We start from the raw sequence: 19,002 nt of genomic DNA, 5'->3' as shown, positions 1-19,002 counted from the left end.
TTTCAGCTTTCTTCTCTAAAAAATGATGAGTTCGACTAGATGTTTGCTAAACATTTATCAGGTGCCAGCACTCTATGATTGTCATTTTTGGCCTTTCTGTTTACTAGTCTATTAATATTCTTATATTCTTCCTTAGACTAGAATCCTTACAATAAAATTTGAGCCATTCATTCACTCAAAAAATATTTGTGGGCCTGCTATGTGCTAGGGATTCAGCAATCCCTGACGCATAGTTTGAACAGACAAACTGAAGCTGTTCTGCTCTTTTGAAGCTTACATTCTAACAGATTGCAAAAACATAAACAAACCAGAAAAAATCAGATAGAGATAAAGGCTCATAGAGACCTAAAATAGGATGATGTGCTAGAGACTGACTGGGTAGCTATTTTAGACTGTGTGGTCAGGGAGGTGAGATCTGACTTATATGGAGGGGCAAAACATGTCTGGCTATCACTGAGAGGTTATTAATCAGCCTGAAGTCTAATTTCCCCCATAATAATAACAACTTATATTTGAATAACTCTTTTACAACTATTATCCCATTTCATTCTCATAACAGTTTTGTGAGGTAGGCATTAGTATTCTTATTTTTTAGATATGGTAGTGACTTGTAGAATAAAATTAATAAGTGGCAGAACCAGGATTTGAACCCAACTGCTTTGTCTTTAAATATGTTGGCTTTCTCCTGTGCTACCCTCGCTTGAGTCTTTACACTGAGCAGTAAATAGGCTGCCTAGACAGGCTGGTATTCCCAGATACTGACCTCTGTATGCTCTTATTGTCTTACACCTCTCAGATTTTGAGCTGTTTTTTATTCACAATACTTCTGACATTAAATGTGTGGAGTTTTTCTCTTCCTGACACCAACCAGTTCTCCAGCTCTCTGGACACCAAATGGGTGTCCTATAATTTAATTCAATCTGACATTAACTACTCAGAGTTAGTGTCAGTCTCCACAGGTTTAAGGGCTCAGTCCTACAAGACTGTCCTCCTGCAGATGCCAGACACAAATAGGGGTTCCCAGGTTACCCACACTTCTGTCAGATTTGGCTATTAAGTTGGGAGGTTCCCATACCCCCACCCTTTCAGGTTCAATGATTTGTTAGAATTTTGGAAAACACTTTACTCATTGTCTTAGTCCATTTCATATTGCTATAGTAGGGTATCTGAAGTTGGGTAATTTATAAAGAAAAGAGGTTTATTTGGCTCATGATTCTGGTGACTAGAAAGTCCAAAGTTGGCAGCCACATTTGGGGAGGGCTTCATGCTGCTTTGACTGGTGATGGAAAGCAGAAGGGAAGTGGGCATGGGAAAAAAGATCATGGCAAGAGAGGAAGCAAGAAAGAGAAACTGAGGAAGCTAGATTCTTTTTTAACAACCGCTCTTGTGGGAACTAATGAGAGAGAGAACTCACCCCTCTGAGAGGGCATTCATCTATTCGTAATGGATCTGCGCCCCTGCACCAGACCCCTACCACTAGATTCCACCTCCCAACACAGCCGTACTGGGGGTCAAATTTCGATGTGAGTTTGGTGGGGACAAACCACATCCAAACCACATCCGAACCATAGCACTTACTATTACTGGCTTATTATAAAGGACACAAATGAATAACCAGATGAAGCACTGCATAGGTTGAGGTCTGGAAGACTCTAGCACCGGAGCTTTTGTCCCCATGGAGGGAGAGTACCATACCCTCCTGGTAAATGGTTGTGTTTGTCAACTCTGAAGCTCTGCGAATACCATCATTTAGGGGTTTTTATGGAGCTTCCACTACACAGGCATAACTGATTAAATCATTGGCCATTGGTGGTGGAACTCAGTCTCTAGCCCCTTTCCTTTCCCTAGAGGTCAGGGGGTGAAACTGAAAGTTCCAATGATCTAAAGATATGGCTGATTCCTCTGACCACCAGCCCCCATCCTGAAGGTCATCTCATTAGCATGAACTCGAATATGGTTGAAAGGGGCTCATTTTGATTTTTTTTTTTTTGAGACGGAGTTTCACTCTTGTTGCCCAGCCTGGAGTACAATGGCACAATCTCGGCTCACTACAACTTCCGCTTCCCAGGTTCATGTGATTCTCCTGTCTCAGCTGCCTGAGTAGCTGGGATTACAGGCACCTGCCACTACGCCTGGCTAATTTTTGGAATTTTTAGTAGAGACGGGGTTTCACCTTGTTGGCTAGGCTGATCTCAAACTCCTGACCTCGGGTGATCCGCGTGCCTCGACCTCCCAAAGTGCTAGGATTACAGGCGTAAGCCACCACACCTGGCTGAGAGGGGCTCATTTTGAATAACAAAATACACTCCTGTTATTCAGAACATTCCAAGGGTTTTAGTTGCTGTGTGCCAGAAACTGGAGACAAAGACAAAATATTTATTTATTATTATACTAAAGACATCATCAGAAAGAGAAGTTTTAATTTCCTCATCACATGAAAGCCTAGAAAATGCCTCTTGCCCAAGATTACCGGACAAAAAGATTAGGATGATGCCTGTAGAAACCACTGTCTGGCTATTGGGTGGAGTCCCTCTTGCCTATTTCCTCTCACTCTGTAGTTTGAAGCTTGTGAAAACCTGTTTAAGGGGAACCTACGAACCTGTCTGGGCAGCACATCCATTAGCTCAAATCTGGACAATCAACAAGTGTTCATGCACTGTCACTTGTGACACCTGCCAAACGAGAATATCAGAGAGCTAAGGAGGAGGAGGGAGTGTCTTCATGACAGGCAGCCTTGTTGGGTGAAAAGAATTTTAAATAAAAAGGACCTGGCTCTCTTACCTACTGGCTGGGTGACCGTGGGTACATTTCTTAACCTCCCCAAACGTTACCTTCCTTATTCTGATCCATGCCTGATACTACCTTCCTTACAGGATTGTGAGAATTAAAGCAGCAGATGACAAAATAGATATTTAGGGTGACTGGAACATAATAAAAAGTTATTATTTACATAAAATGTAAGTTTTCATGAACTTCAACCCAAGTTTGTGTGGGCAATTATCTACAGGGCAGGGTCTTACCTTCCTGCCTGCAGCTGATAGGTGGGATAAGTTGCTTTTCTGTCGGCCAATCTGTGTGACAAGGAGGAGTTTCCATAGGCAGTAGCTGACAACACACTGGGCTGAGAAAAGGAACCCTGAGTCAAAGGAAACTAAAGCCCCAAACACATCTGTTTAGCCTACTTCCATAATCAGACTGCAGCTCAGCTGAAATGGCCGTAGGCAGTGGCCTCTGTCACTAACTTTCTCTGGGAATGCTAACTTTAGGGTAATTATGACAGGTCCACCTGCTGACTGTGGAGGGGGAAAGATGGAGGTGCAGTTTTTTTTTTCTATTTTTCTATTTTATTAGTATTATTTTTTTAGATGCAGTCTCGCTCTGTGGCCCAGGCTGGAGTGCAGTGGCACCATCTCGGCTCACTGCAACCTCTGCCTCCTGGGTTCACACCATTCTCCTGCCTCAGCCTCCCAAGTGGCTGGGATTACAGGTGTGTGCCACCACACCCAGCTAATTTTTGTATTTTTAATAGAGATGGGGTTTCGCCATGTGGACCAGGCTGGTCTCGATCTCCTGACCTGAGGTGATCTGCCCGCCTCGGCCTCCCAAAATGCTGGGATTACAGGCATGAGCCATCGCACCTGGCTGGAGGTGCAGTTTTTAAGGGTTCAGCAAAGTTGATTTTCAAAAGCCGTATCTAGAGTAGCGTACACAAACTAGAATCCCGAAGTCCCAACCAAAGTTGTGTTATCTAACCATACACGATTAGGTTAATCGTAACATTAGAGTACTTGGAACTCCTGTAAGGCATTAACCTGACATTTTGTCATTAAATATATTCCTTGTATAGTCTACCTTTGCTCAAGGCTAATTCCTCCACTTGGAGTGCCCTTTCCTACTCTCCTTTCCCAGGTATCAAAATTCTACCAATTCTCTCCAAGTCAATTGCAAATTATTATTCTTTTGGAAAGTGTTTCCTATTAATTGTCTCAGTAGGAGATCTTCATCATTTGAAACTATTTTTTCCCTTGTGCTTTTCATATGGCATTTAATATTTTCTGCCCTGAATTATAGTTATTTTAAAACTCATCATCTCTTCTGTCAGCTCCTTGAGGGTGGAAGATTTATCTCTAGCAGACATACTTTACCCATTGTCTTAGACATAGTAGGCAATTTGAATTGAAAACTGAAGCAAAGATACTTTAAAGACTTTATGCTGGAGGTGCAGCACAGAAGCATTTTTACGATCGTTGCCTTGGTTCTTGAGCCTGACATCTGGGCCAGGTGTCATTCTATTGTTTCCCATAGCAATCATGAGAAAGAAAGTGTGGCAAGAGAAACTGGGAGTCAATGACCAGAGAGGTGACATTCCAAAGCTGGGAATGAGAGAGAAGTGACATTCCAAAGCTGGGAAGAGAATTTGATTATCATCCCAACTATCTGCCAGCTGTGGCCAGTTCATTTTGTTCCTCAGGATCCCCTCAAGGGCCACTCCTGTAACCACTGAATGGACGTAAACATTGTTAATGGAAAATGGGACTCAGCTGCATGCCAGTAGTCATTGTTGGAGATTATTATTTTTTATTTTTAATAATAATAATTTTTTTTTGCAAAGTAGTATACAAGACTGGGACTTCAGCACAATTCACACTAAAGTGATTGTGAACACACTTTTTGGACTAGAGCAGGAGACTGGAGAGTAGATATCTAACCAGTTTGTCCCTTCCAGGGCAGGCCCTTGGTTTGGCTCTGTTGAAGACAGAGAGTTTGTAAAACTCAGTCTTACCTTTAGCATCTTTTCAACTCTTGGAGACAGGCTAAAAAGAGAAAGAAAAAGCAAAAATCCTAGCACTCATTCAAGAAACCTAGACTTAGAGATTAACTTGATGTAATGCAAATGATGTGACTAGTTTAACATTTCCTAATGACCAAAGGCACAGAGCAGCATCTGGGAGTTGCTATGTTTTCTCCTTCCTCCCCTCAGTGGACTGATTTTATTTTTAGTGTCCAGGGAGATAATACAGTTAAATTTGTTGGGCTAGGAACAAGGAGAGTACGGGTTTATTAACTTCCCTTCCCTCCTTCTCTCTTGCCCTTCATCCCTCTCTCCCTCCCTTTCCCACCTTTGTCTCCTTCCTTTATTCTTTCCTTTAATATAGCCACTCATTTATATATTGATTGATTCAGCAAGTATTTATTGAGTGCCCACTACATGCAGATAATGTATGTGATGCTGGGTAAACAACGTGGGAGGAAAAAACTTGAATTGATCCTACTATGACATAAATTAAAGCCTCGTTGTAGGGGAGCAGAAAGGAGGAAACAGAAAAGCAAGCAAAAAATAGAAATTGCAGGCCAGGTGCGGTGGTTCACGCCTGTAATCCCAGCACTTTTGGAGCCTGAGGCGGCTGGATCACCTGAGGTCGGGAGTTCGAGACCAGCCTGGCCAACATGGTGAAACCTCGTCTGTACTAAAAATACAAAAATTAGCTGGGCACAGTGACGGGCGCCTGTAATCCCAGCTACTCAGGAGGCTGAGGCAGGAGAATCACTGGAACGCAGGAGGTAGAGGCTGCAGTGAGCCGAGATTGCGCCACTGCACTCCAGCCTGGGTGACAGAGTCAGAGCAAGATTCTGTCTAAAAAAAAAAAAAAAAAAAAAAAAAAAAAAATTACAAATTGCAAATTGTGAAAATTCTACAAAAGTATTATAAAGGGCACATGAGATTAAGGGCTTAATTATATAGGATGGTTGGCTGAGACCTCTCTGAAAAGCAAATATTTAAAGGAGACTGAAAGAATGAGAAATAGCAAGCCATGGGAAGACCATGAGGCAGGAAAGGGCTGGGTGAATTCAACAAAATGGAAAGAGTCCTCGTGGCTGGTACAGAGTGATATAGAGGGAAAGTGGTCCAAGATGGAGTTGGAGAGGAAGGCAGGTGGTAGATCACATGGGCAATCTGCTTTCTGTCTTAGTACCTCAGTTTCCTTATCTGTGAAATGATTTGTTGGGCTGCATTGCAACCATTACCTACTTTGTTGGTCATTTAGTATTAAGTGTCAATCCTCTTTTACCATGGGTTTCAAAATCAAAATTTTCTAGTTCTTTGGGTGCTGAAGATGTCATCCTAGGCACTAGGACCTAAAGATCTGCCTAGTTTAGGTGGGAGGAAACTAAAATGCCTAAAGCAGGTTTTATCAATCTTGGCACTATTTTGGACCAGATAATTTTTTTCTTGTGGAGGGTGGAGGTAGGAGAATGTCCTCTGCATTGTGGGGTGCTTAGAAGCATTCCTGCCTCTGAGCACCAGATGCCAGAAGTTGGGTGACCCAAAAATATCTCCAGACATTGCCAAATGTACCCTGGGAGACAAACTCTCCCTTGGTTGAGAACCACTAGTTTACAGGGTGAGACTGTAGCTCCAATGAGCAGGTCTGGCATGAGATGTGAGATGGAACCTAACATATAGCCTCAGTGTTGGGGAAAAAAGAAAGCAAGGCAGGAACCACAGAAAAGAAGTGGGCACCTGCTCATTTAGAGGGGGCATATGGTACTTGCTCTGGCTGGTTCTTTTTTCTCCTAAGACTTGAGGTACTCACAATTAGATTGTCCATAATCTTTGGTTCGTGACACACTCATATTATTTGCCCATGTTGTGTTGCATTAATTTGGTTAGCTACTTTATTAGTTCTTTATAATAATGTGCTGAACCCATCACCACAAACAAAAGCTAGGACTTTGACAATAATCTGCATGTAACAGTATGGCCTCTCATTCCTCTGCCTTTCCCCAACAGAGGCAGCCACTGTACTAAATCATGTGTTCATCATTCCCTTGCTTTCCTTCCTATATGGTTTTCTTTTATCTAGATATATCCCCCAAATAATTGAAATGCTAGCAGTTTTTAACTTTATAAAAAGGTTATGATGCTATTACAATCCTTTGCACTGACTTTCTTCACTTCCTATTCTATTACTAAGAGTCATCCATATTGATGTGTGTTGCTGGAGCTCATACATTTGAAGTGCTGTATTAAATCTCATTGTGTGGACACACCACAGTACATCTCACTCACTGATGGCATCTGGGTTATTTTCTGGGTTATATTACACATGGTTTTTTTTGCTCTCCAACTGATTACTGCAGTGCAAGAATGTGGGAACAATATTGTCACCATTTTAATTTATTTTAAGGAAAAAGTAGAAATCTTAATTTTTATGTGAAAATAACTGGGGGACAAATTTAAAGTTTTAAGAAATACCTAACAGGTAAAAAAGAAATGAGACTGTAGGTCATTCCTTTTGAGCCTCCAGTTTAAGATTTCTAGATTAGGTCATTCATGTTGAGAATTTTTCACCTGAATCTATAAGTCAAATTAACTTGGAAGAAACTTAGAAAAATGTTCTTTAGTATTTAAGAGTGGCAAAGAAGAAACTGTACAGAGGCAAGGATTTTAATAGGTGTCCAGATTGGATGAGCAGCGAGGTAAATCCATTGAAATGCATTCATTTAAAACAGTCGGTTGTAGGCCGGGCGTGGTGGCTCCCAGCACTTTGGGAGGCTGAGGCGGGCAGATCACGAGGTCAGGAGATGAGACCATCCTGGCCAACACGGTGAAACCCCGTCTCTACTAAAAAAATACAAAAAAAATTAGCCGGGCGTGGTGGCGGGCGCCTGTAGTCCCAGCTACTCGGGAGGCTGAGGCAGGAGAATGGCGTGAACCCGGGAGGCGGAGCTTGCAGTGAGCCGAGATCGCGCCACTGTACTCCAGCCTGGGCGACAGAGCGAAACTCCGTCTCAAAATAAAATAAAATAAAACAAAACAGTTGGTTGTAGTGCCTGGAAATTACAGTGAAGCATTCGCTTCACACCCACCTACTCCTGTTGTCCCAGTGTTATTATTAATAGCACCCCATTCAGGTGACAATTTATATGGTTATCTCTCCATGTAACCCTTTATTGCTCTAACCTTGTTTAATCTTAGCTGTTTGTGTGACTCTCTTCTCTACTAAACTAATGAGCTCCTTGAGACTGGAGATATTGTCTTATTTATCTCTGCGTCTAGCACATGCCTGCCATTTGGTGGACATGTAACAAACATTTGTTAAATTGAACTGAAATAAAAGAATAAAGAAGAGCATAGGAGTAGAAATGGCCAGCCCACATCATCTTCCATGTGCTGCAGAGGTCTAGACTGGAGGCCCAGTTTTGAGTTAGTTATGAGCTTTGTGGCTTGGGAAACTAATTTAATCTTTTTCAACTAAATGGGAGAATATGTATCATGTGCTTAGTGAAAGGCTATTAAGTGCCCAATAAGTGTTAGCTGCTAGCACTGTTATCAATAATTAGTTGTTAATAATCACTATTATTACTATTAAAGGTATTATAGTAACTTTGAACTTTAGTTTTCTTAATGGGGAATTAAGATAATAATTTTTGTTTACTTTATGTTGGCAATGAACACAAAGACACTTTGGAAACTGTAGAGAGCCCTCACTGCGTAGCCCAAAAAAGAATGCATAGTAACAGAGAGGTTTTTGCTATAGAACCGAGTAACTCAGGCATATTACATGGGGGCTCAACTGACTGGCAATATAAGGAAACTTTTAAATATAATATTTTAAAAAGATGAAAAAATGGCTGAGTCGGAAGGTACAAATTGATCTATGCCAAAGTGTTGAAACATAGAAAAAGCACATGGGAAAGAATGGTAGCTGGACTCAGGACAAGTAAGGAAATTAAGACTAGGGCACTGCTCTGTGTGGGATTAAGAGAGCATTGCTGCCAGTGTGTTGAGGGGACAGAGCCATTCTAGGCTTGGCATCTGGAGAGCAATGGCTTGAGCTTGGAGCAGAAGAGTATTCATGTCAGAATCTACATTCTACTTTGCAAAATTAGTTAAGAGATTGTATTTCTGAGTTAATGAGAACATTTTATCAGTTATGCCAAATTTGGACAATGCCTAAGAAAGCCATTCGGCACCTGTATGTGTTGCTAATAGTAGAAAGGAATCTAATGTTTACACACAAAAGCAACCTTCAGCCAAGCATCACAGAACCTTTCCTGGCAATGTAATCTTTATCAGGTGAGATAAAGAAGTTGATAGATTTAAAGTTTTATGTTCCAACTCCCTTGTTATCCTAAGAGACAATTCTAGCAAGAGCAGAACTGTTGACACTAGGAATTCTTGTACCTAACTGCCAATAAACTGGTGGATAGAATTTCAGGTCTATTTCAGAGACATGTGATCAAGTAATAGCAGCAACAGCCGTAGTAAATGCTTACATAGGGCAACAACCCTGTCATGTGGGTGCTATTACTATCCCATTTTATGGAAGACAAACTGAGGAATAAAGAGGTTAAATAATGTACTGAAAAATCACACGCCCAGTAAGTGGCAGAGCTAGTCTCTGAACCCAAAGAGTCTTGGTCTGGAGAATGTGCTTTTAACCAGGACACTCTACTACCTCTCAATTTTAGCTGTCATAACCAGTGTAAAGTATACCCATGACTTTGTGGGATAAAGTTGTGGGACTAAGACCATAAACTTCAGGGATGGTTTTCTATTCTATCTCAGGATTTCCTTGGAAGGAAGACGTTTGTCTAGATTATATATTTATTAGAGGTGAGACTCTTATCTTGTCTTGTATGTATCCTCTGGGGTCTAATAATATCCTCTCATGACGCATTGGTGCTCAGTAGAATGAGATGAAGTAAACCAAATAGTCCCTATGGTGTTTTCCTCTTGACATAAAATTGTTTGTTGATGAATGAGGAAGGAACATGGGAAGGCACAACTCTACCCCAAACTCCCAAGGGCAAGCTGGCATTTACTTGTTAATCCTCTTATGGTCAAATACTTTCACCCAATCCTGACTCAGATTTCAAGGCCTGGTTCTTTTCTCTCCCTCTCCTGTGTCTGCTGATCCCAGCCAAGGGAATCTCTTGGTGCTGCTGTCAGCTCGCCAGCTGACAGACCTGGATTGGAATCTTAGCAGTGGGACATTCTAGCTGTGCGGCCTTGGGCACATCATCCCATTCTGCCACTCTAAGCTCAGTCCCACCATGTATGAAATGAGGATGATTATCTCACTTCAGGGAAAACACAGGGATAGGCATGATTGGGAGAGTTAAACAAGACAGCACATCTAAACACCTAGCACAGTGCTTGGCACAGGGTATCTAGGTGCTCAAATGATAGAAACTGATTTCCTAGTTAGACTGTGACTTCCTTGCTTCCTGGGATCATGTCTTACACTTCTTTGTCAAGATTTCCTCTCCACTCTCTCCATGCCTCACCCTGCCCTCTCCTCACCCTCCTCAACTCCTTCACTCTGCCCCCATTTCCATCACTAAAATCAGTATTTGTTCATTTATTGTTTATTGTGCTTAACCAATATTTGGTATCATTTTGATTCTGTCCCAGGAGATATTTGGCTATCGGACTCAAGGCTGCCGGAAAAGTCTCTGCCTTGCCGGATCCATCTTCTCATTTGGAATCCTCCCCTTGGTGTTTTACTGGAGACCAGCATGGCACGTATGGGCACATTGTGTCCCATGTTCCTTGCAAGAAGCAGACACTGTGTTGCTGAGGACAACGGTAAGTGTGTACCTGGTTATGTCGCTGGTGCCCCCCTTTTGTTTCTGGACAATGTGTTACGGGATGGCTGGGGGGAGATGTGCACAAGACAGATAGCAGGTGGAGGCTCCAGTCTTTGGTTCCTTAGGTTTCATCACAGCCTTGCATCTAGCAGGATTTCACTAATTTGTGTATGGTCAATAGCAAAGACATGGAACAAACCTAAATGCCCATCAGTGATAGACTGGATAAATAAAATGTGGTACATGTACACCACGGAATACTCTGCAGCCATAATAAAGAACGAAATCATGTCCTTTTCAGGACATGGATGGAGCTGAAGCCATTATCCTTAGCAAACTAACGCAGGAACAGAAAATCAAATACCGCATGTTGTCACTTATAAGTGGGAGCTAAATGATAACACATGGACACATAGAAGGGAACAACACATACGGGGGTCTGTCAGAAGGTGGAGGCTGGGAAGAGGGAGAGGATCAGGGAAAACAATTAATGGGTACTAAGCTTAATACATGGGTAACAAAATAATCTATACAACAAACCCCCATGAAGCAAGTTTACTCATATAACAAACCTGCACATGTTCCCCGATCTTAAAATACAAGTTAAATTAAAAATTGTGGATGGTGAGGTTTGATCAAGAAGAGCGATTTCACAAGATATTTCTTTTAAAGTTGTGAGTTTCGTGAATGCTAGAGCAGGGAACAACCACATGTTAATAGCTAAAAATAACAGGAAATGTGAAGTAGTCAAGTCAGGCTATAGGCTACTAAGTTCACACTGACCGTTCCTCTCGATTCCTGACATATCCCACTCCCTGCACTGGAGTGACTCCTGAGGAAAAGAAGGGAAGGGGTGGGGAGCATCACTCTGAGGAGGATGCTGTCTGTCCCAGCTGATTGATGAGAGCATGTCACATTCTGCAGATACACTAGGGTAAAAAGTGCAGCCATCTTGCCCTTGAGGCCATTGCCTCTCTCTGTTAATAAAAGCCTCTGGCTTTGGGTGAGTTTCCCTGTATTTCCTTCCATACCAATTCCTTGCAGCACTCATGGCACTCGGACAATGTGCATCATCCCTGCGGGACTGTCAGCTTCTCAAAGGAAGTGAGCATTTCTAACGTGTTAATTGCTGCACCCCCAGTTCCTGCATGTGGTAGCGATTCTGTTACTATGTGGTGGCTGACAGGCTGAAGTGGATGTTTCTATTAAAGAGAGTGGAAGGACAGTCTCCTAGAGGACTCTCTTCTAGTTGACTTTTACTGAGTGTTTATAAGAATGCATCAGCCCATGGCCCCGAATGACAACCAAATTGTTGATAAATCAAACTCTGTTGGGAGTTTAGCTTCCTTTTATATATTACAATCTCTCTAGATACATATTCTATTTAATGCAGTAAGAGAGAAGGATAGCAATCAGCCTTATAACTGGCCAAAAAGAAATCTAACAGAGGTGAGGCTAAACTCCAATGAAACTGAGAACTGGAGGAAGTTGGTCTTTGTTGACTTGCTCCATTGGGGCCAGCCTCACCTTTCATTTCTGGATCTTGGTCCCTTCAAGAAATACTTGTTCTATGTTCTAGCTTAGCTGATATGTGAGCCATGATACAGGTAATAGCTGAGGCATCTTCTCACAAGTTCAACTATAATTTTACTAGAGACTCTTGGAGAATAAGCTTTAAGACTTTAAGGAAGCAAGAGGTTATTGTGGAATAAGAGCAAGTGATATTGGTGATGTTGAGCTGGAGCTGTGCTTCGTTGATGCCTCGTGTCATCCTTCCTGAAGACTCACAGGATGTGCACAAAAGAAAAGTGCCCGGCACCCCACATAAGACTTCTTCATTTGATGGGTGAGGAAATGGGGCTAGGGAGGTGACACAATTTCCCCTAGCTCACGTGTGAGTGAGGGGCCTCACCAGGACTAAGTCCCATGAGTCCTGGCTCCTAGTCAAGGGCTTTTCCATTGCACTGTACTTAGACCAGGGTTCACACACTTCAACTGGCATCAGAATAATCTAGAGAGGCTATCGGAACAGCTTGCTGGGTCCCAGTCCCAGAGATTCTAGTTCATTAGATTTGGATTGAGACCCAAGAATTTGCATTTTAACAGGTTCTCAAGTGATGCTAATGATTCTTATAAGGGGCCATATTTAGAGAAAAACTGCTGTAACTAGTTTTCACTTCCATTTGTGAGCTCACTTGTTCACTTGGTCCTTGGGAGAGAAATAGAGACCTAGACATTTGATGTATGGCTCAGATGGTATATATTTATAATCTGAAAGAGAAGAATCCAGATTTAGTAAAGTGCTATGAGTGGCCCTCCCATACATAGCCTGAGTGCCTTTCTAGGACAGGGATAAAATTTGCTTTCTGGGGCTCAGAGCAGGGGTGTGAGTATCTATGGAAGACTCCATCTTTGGGCCCTTTTATAGATCAACCCCTCCACGCGAACTTAAGAATCTATCAGATTATTATTTTCTGGCATGAACGTAATTTAACTGTACTCTACAAGTCCATCTGTATGCCCTCAACTAGTTCTCAGAGGGTAACGCTTTTGCTACAGTAGAAACAGAACCACGCTCTGCCTTGCAGGGTCCATCAGCAAGCTCTTCAGATCTCAGATGGTCTGCTCAGCTGAGCCGTGCTCTCTGAGGTGCTGGCAGAGTTATGGCACAGACAAGAATAAGAGGAAATGGGCAAGGAAATGGAAAAGGAAGGGAGGAAAATAGGTAAGAGGAAAATGAAGAGAGAGAAAAGAGAAAAAAATCCACTAAGAGTGAATTAAAAAAGAGTGTCACTAAATGAGGAGATGATGTGTTTTGGGATTTGGAGTCAAACGTTTTGATTTCTTGTCCTAGTACTTTAGGTTTGTTACCTAACTTTTTAGGACCTCAATTTCACCACTTGTAAAATGGGGCAGTGTGAGAATGAAGGAGTCAAACGTTTTGATTTCTTGTCCTAGTACTTTAGGTTTGTTACCTAACTTTTTAGGACCTCAATTTCACCACTTGTAAAATGGGGCTAGTGTGAGAATGAAGGGCTATTGTCTATGTAAAAGGCATTTGCAAACTGTAAAATGCATTGTCAAACACCACTTTGATTGTGTGTGTGTGTGTCATTGCTCAAGCCATTCCAAAAGTGTTCTATACAAAAGAGCTTGCTATGCACAAGGTGCACCCATATCTAATGGTCTTGCTTATCTGGATGACGTGCCTTTTCCTAATTACCCACGAGCCTGGCATTCCCCTCTGGGACAACGGACACGAGGGAAGGTTTTCTGTGACTGGGAGTCTCCAGCTCTCATCCATACTCAGTCGGGTGATCTCTCCTAGTTGCGTGTAGCCAGCTTTGCAAATGGACATATACTGGAAAGACTCAAAACAGCTTTGGTGCCCCTGGGAGCTTCGTTCCATCATCCTGCCTCTTTCTTTGCATCCTTGACAGTCTGTCAAGCCCTTGTCGAATTTCACTGCCCCTCCACAGCTAATCAGAGCAGTCTAAGCCGGCTTCAATCTTGCCTTTTTCATCTTGATTTCAACTTTAATTTTTAATTGCCTGCTCTTGTGTGTCATTTTAAATGGATCTGCTATGCCAGAGACTCTCCAAATAAATGAAGTTCTGAATTAGTCTTTAGGTAATTAGACAAGAACTCAATTATTTCAAACATTCTTACTATCTGAGAGTTAGATAAAAATAAGCTTTGGGCACCAATAGTTTAAAAGTTTGCTGCTAGGTTATTTGCATTAAAATGACATCTTAAAAAGATTTTATTTGAATTATATTACAATAGCTGGACTGTGATGATTTTCCATTAAGGAGGTCTGGATGACTCCTACCTGAAAATGTGTTGTATATCTGTTCTTCATGTTATTAAAAAATCAGTACTTGCTATTTATCATCAATCTCACGCTGGTAAGATTACAGATCATTATCACAGATACTGATTAGGCAGTCATTTCTTGACATTAAAAAAAAAGACGGTGATGTACTGACTGAAAGTCTACAGTACACAGTTTATTTTCAGTTCTTCTTCTCTTATTAAGGACTCTGAGAGATTTTTCCAAAAGATAAGAGTAATTAGGTTTTTATTTTATAATTTTAAAAGCAGCATTCTGTTCATTATTCATCTACTTCTGATTTTTAACCAATATCAGTAGCAATGCCACGTTTCTATGCAAATGACATGATTTATATGCATTGTTTTGAATTCAGATGCTCCTGATTTTCATAGCTTCCATCTTTATTGTAATTACAAACACATTTTCCCCCTCATTGTCATCGTAGGTTACATGTTGTCAAAGACCCGTGGTGTGCAGAGGAGAACTTTGTGATGATTAGCAATGCGGCCTGACTCAAGGCACTTCCGTTTGATGTTTTAATGGGGAGTATTTTCGCTTCAGTTTCAATTAAAGATGTCAGGGCTAGGAGCGTTAGTTCAAAAACTTAGAAACTCTGCCAATCAGCCACGCGAATGTCATCTTAAAGTCTGCCAGTGTACCAGTATTCTCGTCAGGCGGCAGCATCTGTGTTCACTGGGTCGCTTACCTCCTCTCCTCCCCGCTCCTCCTCTGCAACTTGGTCTCTCACAGCCCACGTTTCCCACACCAGGACCACTTTCTACTGGAACAAGACACTGTTTTGTGCCTGCTTTTACCCATAAAGTTTCTTCTGATAATTCCTTCTCCCCTCCATTCATGCATGCATTCATTCACTTATGTTTTCAGTGAGTTAGTATTTACCACACACCAACCATGTACCAGACATTGGCATAGGCACTGGGAATATAACTATGAGCAAAACAGATGGAAATCCTTGTCCTTACAGAGTGATTTTCTAGTGAGGAGTCAACACACACACATGCTTTCTCTTTCTCAAGTAAATGTAGAAAGTAGGTGTTGTCTCTACTTATTAAATTCTCCTCATTCCTCAGCCACATATCACCTTCTCTGTTAAGTCTTTGTTGATTCATTCTTTGCGCCAGTTCAGAAGGGAGGGAGTTAATTGCCTGTCCTGCATTAGCTCTGTGTTTTCATTTGTGACCGCTGTAGTGCTTTTTACCGTGTATTAAAATACTATTCACTTTACAGTTTATAAAGCAGTATGTCATTGATTATTTAATTCTCATAACAACCCTGGAAAATGGGCATTATCATCTCCATTTTACAGATGAGGATACAAAGAGACCAAGTGACTTTACAACCCAGTAAATATCAAAGCCAGGCTTTCCTTCCTTATATCTCTCTCTTTTTTATACATTTGAGGAGCACACATTGTATGCCAGCCAACAGTGCTGGCTCATGGGCAAGTGTGTAAGTGTGTGTGATTAATAAAACCAGGGTTCTTGACCTCATGGAGTTAATCAGATCGGTACACAAATAAATGTAAAAATCCACCTCTTAAAAGTACTCCTTAGGAAAGGCTCCAGGTTATGGTAGGATTACATAATAGAGATTTGGCCAAGTCAAAACAGTCAGGGAAGGCTTTCTGAGCACCAAAGGATAAGAGTTAAAAGGTGATGGTGGCTGCTGGGGGCAGGCACATGGAGAGTGATGCAGGTGGAGGGAATATGGGGGCAAAGAACTTAAACCTAAGACTTTCTCTAAGTCCCGAATCTTTTTTTTCTCACTGTGCTGGATTCCTTTTTGTAGCTTTTGATCCTTTAAAATTATAAGCTTTCTATTCCTGGAACTTCTCAGCTTTTTTTTTTTTTCCTGGACAGTCTAGATTATAAGCTTTTTGAAGACAGTGATTGTGGTATACATTTCATTCCCCCTGGCACCTAGCACATGGCCACAGCAGGACTTAGTTATTTAATTTAATTTAATACGTTGAATTAAGTTGAATCTATAATAAATAGTCTCACTGTTTCTACCAGAATTTTATCTCAAGGATACTAAAGTGGAATGTCACAGTTGAGAAAGAGAATATAGCATTATGTTTCTTTCAGGTACACATTCCCACTTCTGAATCCTGCTTTCCTACCCACTCCCCAACTCAGTCCCATTTCAACCTGGTCTTTCATTAGACATCTCACCACAAATCTCTGAGATTCTGTGAGCTGGCCTCTGAGAAATGACTCAATGTTAAGATAAATCGTTTTGAGACTATTATCCTTTATAATACAGGGCCATTTATATTACGATTTAACAATTTACATATAGTTGTCTCATTTGGTCCTTACCAGTAGAGATTTTTTTCTCCAGTTTTACAGATGGAGGCATAGAGAAATTAAACAAAATTCTCAGGGTCCCATAGCCGGAAGATGAGAGTTGAACTAGAGTTGGAACTAGAGATCTAATTATTCTCTGTCCAGTGACCAGATTCTACAGAGGCAGCATTGTGAAGTGGTTTAAGAATAAACTCTAGGTTCTGAGTACCTGGATTTGATTCCCAGCACTGCTCTTGACCTTGGGCAGTGTATTTGCCTGCTAGGCTTCTATAGCAAAATACCACACACCAGGTTTTGCTGAAATAACAGAAATTTATTGTTTCATAGTTCTGGGAGCCGAAAGTCCAAGATCTAGGGCCAGGAGAGTTGGTTTCTGGTGAGGCCTCTCTTCCTGGCTTGAAGAAGGCTGTCTTCTCACTGTGTCTTCATGGGGTCTTTTCTCTGTGCTCTTGCACACCTGGTGTCTCTTCATCTCATATGGACATTAGTCCTTTTGGATTAGTGTGTACCCTTATGGCCTCATTCAACATTAATTACCTTCTTAAAGGCTTTATCTCCAAATATGTTGGAGGTGAGGGGTTCAACATGAGAATTTTGAGGGGACACAACTCAATTCATAACAGGCAGGTTATTTAACCTCTTTTTGCCTCCATTTTTTTTCTGTTAACCGGGGCTGATGATAATACCTATCTCCTTGTGAGAACTAAGGATGTGATATGTGTAAAGTTCTGAAATAAAGACTGCTTGGCATGCAGGCATTCCATGGGCATTAGTCAACTTTTTACTACACACTATATCTCCAGAAGTTTCAGACGATGACCCGCTAATCCACTGCTCCATTTCCCCTCAGAAAACAGCTACAAAAATGAGCAAGCCCCAAATCCCATCCCTCCAAAAAAATGTATGCTGAGTTTGCTAGATTTCCTTGTTTTGTACACAAACATAAACATAGCCTTTGCTTTGTTAATAACCTCATTGTGTTGTCCCTCCCTCCTCTTTTTTTTTGGACAACATATACTGAGATAATAATTATTGTGAGAATTTCTCCAAAACTTAGAACTTTATGTATATTATAACTAAATCCTATATTCTAGCCAATGTCAACTTTTTTCCAACTAAAAGACATTGGGAATATGAGGTCGGGATGTTAAGAGCATCAATGAGTCTGGCCAGGAGAGGGAAAGAGAAAGAAAAAAAATGATAGCTGTAAAAATAAAAGAATTTTACCAAAGTTATGGGTCTATAAAGGCAGTGCAGCATTTTAGAATAGCCTGAGAAATTTATTATTACATTATCCATAATCCTCTAGGTATTTCACATGAGCTAGAGTTCAGCCTTTTAGCATTGCAATGTATCCATCTCCAGGAGAAAATTACTCACTTTCTAATGTCTCATTGGAACTTTGAAATGGGTTCTTTTTAAGGCAAGCCAGAACTACATTTTTTTGTGTAGTGAACTATACAAGAGAGGTCACAGCATTGGCCTGAACTTGAAGCAACCATTATATTGCTTTTAAATTTCAAGGGATGAGGTTCTTATTGTAAAAGGATAGAATTAGGTTAAGCAAGATGTGTTAGTCTGTTCTCACGCTGCTAATAAAGACATACCCAAAACTGGGTAATTTATAAAGGAAAGAGGTTTAATTGACTCACAGTTCAGCATGTCTGGGGAGGCCTCAGGAAACTTACAATCATGGTGGAAGGGGAAGCAAACACATCCTTCTTCACATGCTGGCAGCGAGGAGAAGTGCCAAGCAAAAGGGTGAAAGCCCCTTATAAAGCCATCAGAGCTCGTGATAACTTACTCACTATCATGAGAACAGCATGAGTGTAACTGCCCCCATGATTAAATTACCCCCCACTGGGTCCCTCCCATGACATGAGGGGATTATGGGAACTACAATTCAAGAGGAGATTTGGATGGGGACACCGCCAAACCATATCACGAGATAGCTTGCTTCATTCAAGTCTAAAAGTTTATCTGGCATTTCCAGGGTCAGAAAGTACAAAACCACAGGAAATAAAAAATGTCCAGGTTTCTCCCTCTGTTTTTCAGTCCAGGTCAAACACTGGTCCTTTGTATACATTCGACTTTTGAAATGCACTCTTGAATTTTTGTAAAACCTATTTTTTTAGAGTTCAAGGACTGATCCGGTTAATATTTTTGATAAAGAGGAGGTAAAGCCTTCTCAATGAGACCTGAGGTGTAAAAAGTCCAGATTTGCCAGGCAAGCACTTT

At 41.3% G+C, this 19,002-nt stretch overlaps 1 protein-coding gene across 4 annotated transcripts in view; it reads left to right on the top strand.

The window, feature by feature from the left end:
- ATP13A4 (ATPase 13A4) overlaps positions 1–19,002 on the top strand; it is a 194,153-nt gene that overhangs the window by 67,825 nt on the left and 107,326 nt on the right. For all 4 annotated transcript variants that reach the window (XR_007095757.1, XM_047449063.1, NM_032279.4 and 1 more), the window contains one exon: positions 10,424–10,597. Coding sequence is in view for 3 of the 4 variants with exons in the window: in XM_047449063.1 (XP_047305019.1) it covers positions 10,424–10,597 (174 nt within the window). In the remaining variant the exon portion in view is untranslated. The remainder of the gene's footprint in view (positions 1–10,423; positions 10,598–19,002) is intronic.

This window comes from Homo sapiens, chromosome 3 (genome assembly GCF_000001405.40).
Source record: "Homo sapiens chromosome 3, GRCh38.p14 Primary Assembly".
Lineage (NCBI taxonomy): Eukaryota > Metazoa > Chordata > Mammalia > Primates > Hominidae > Homo > Homo sapiens.
This window is presented reverse-complemented; position numbering and strand designations above follow the sequence as displayed.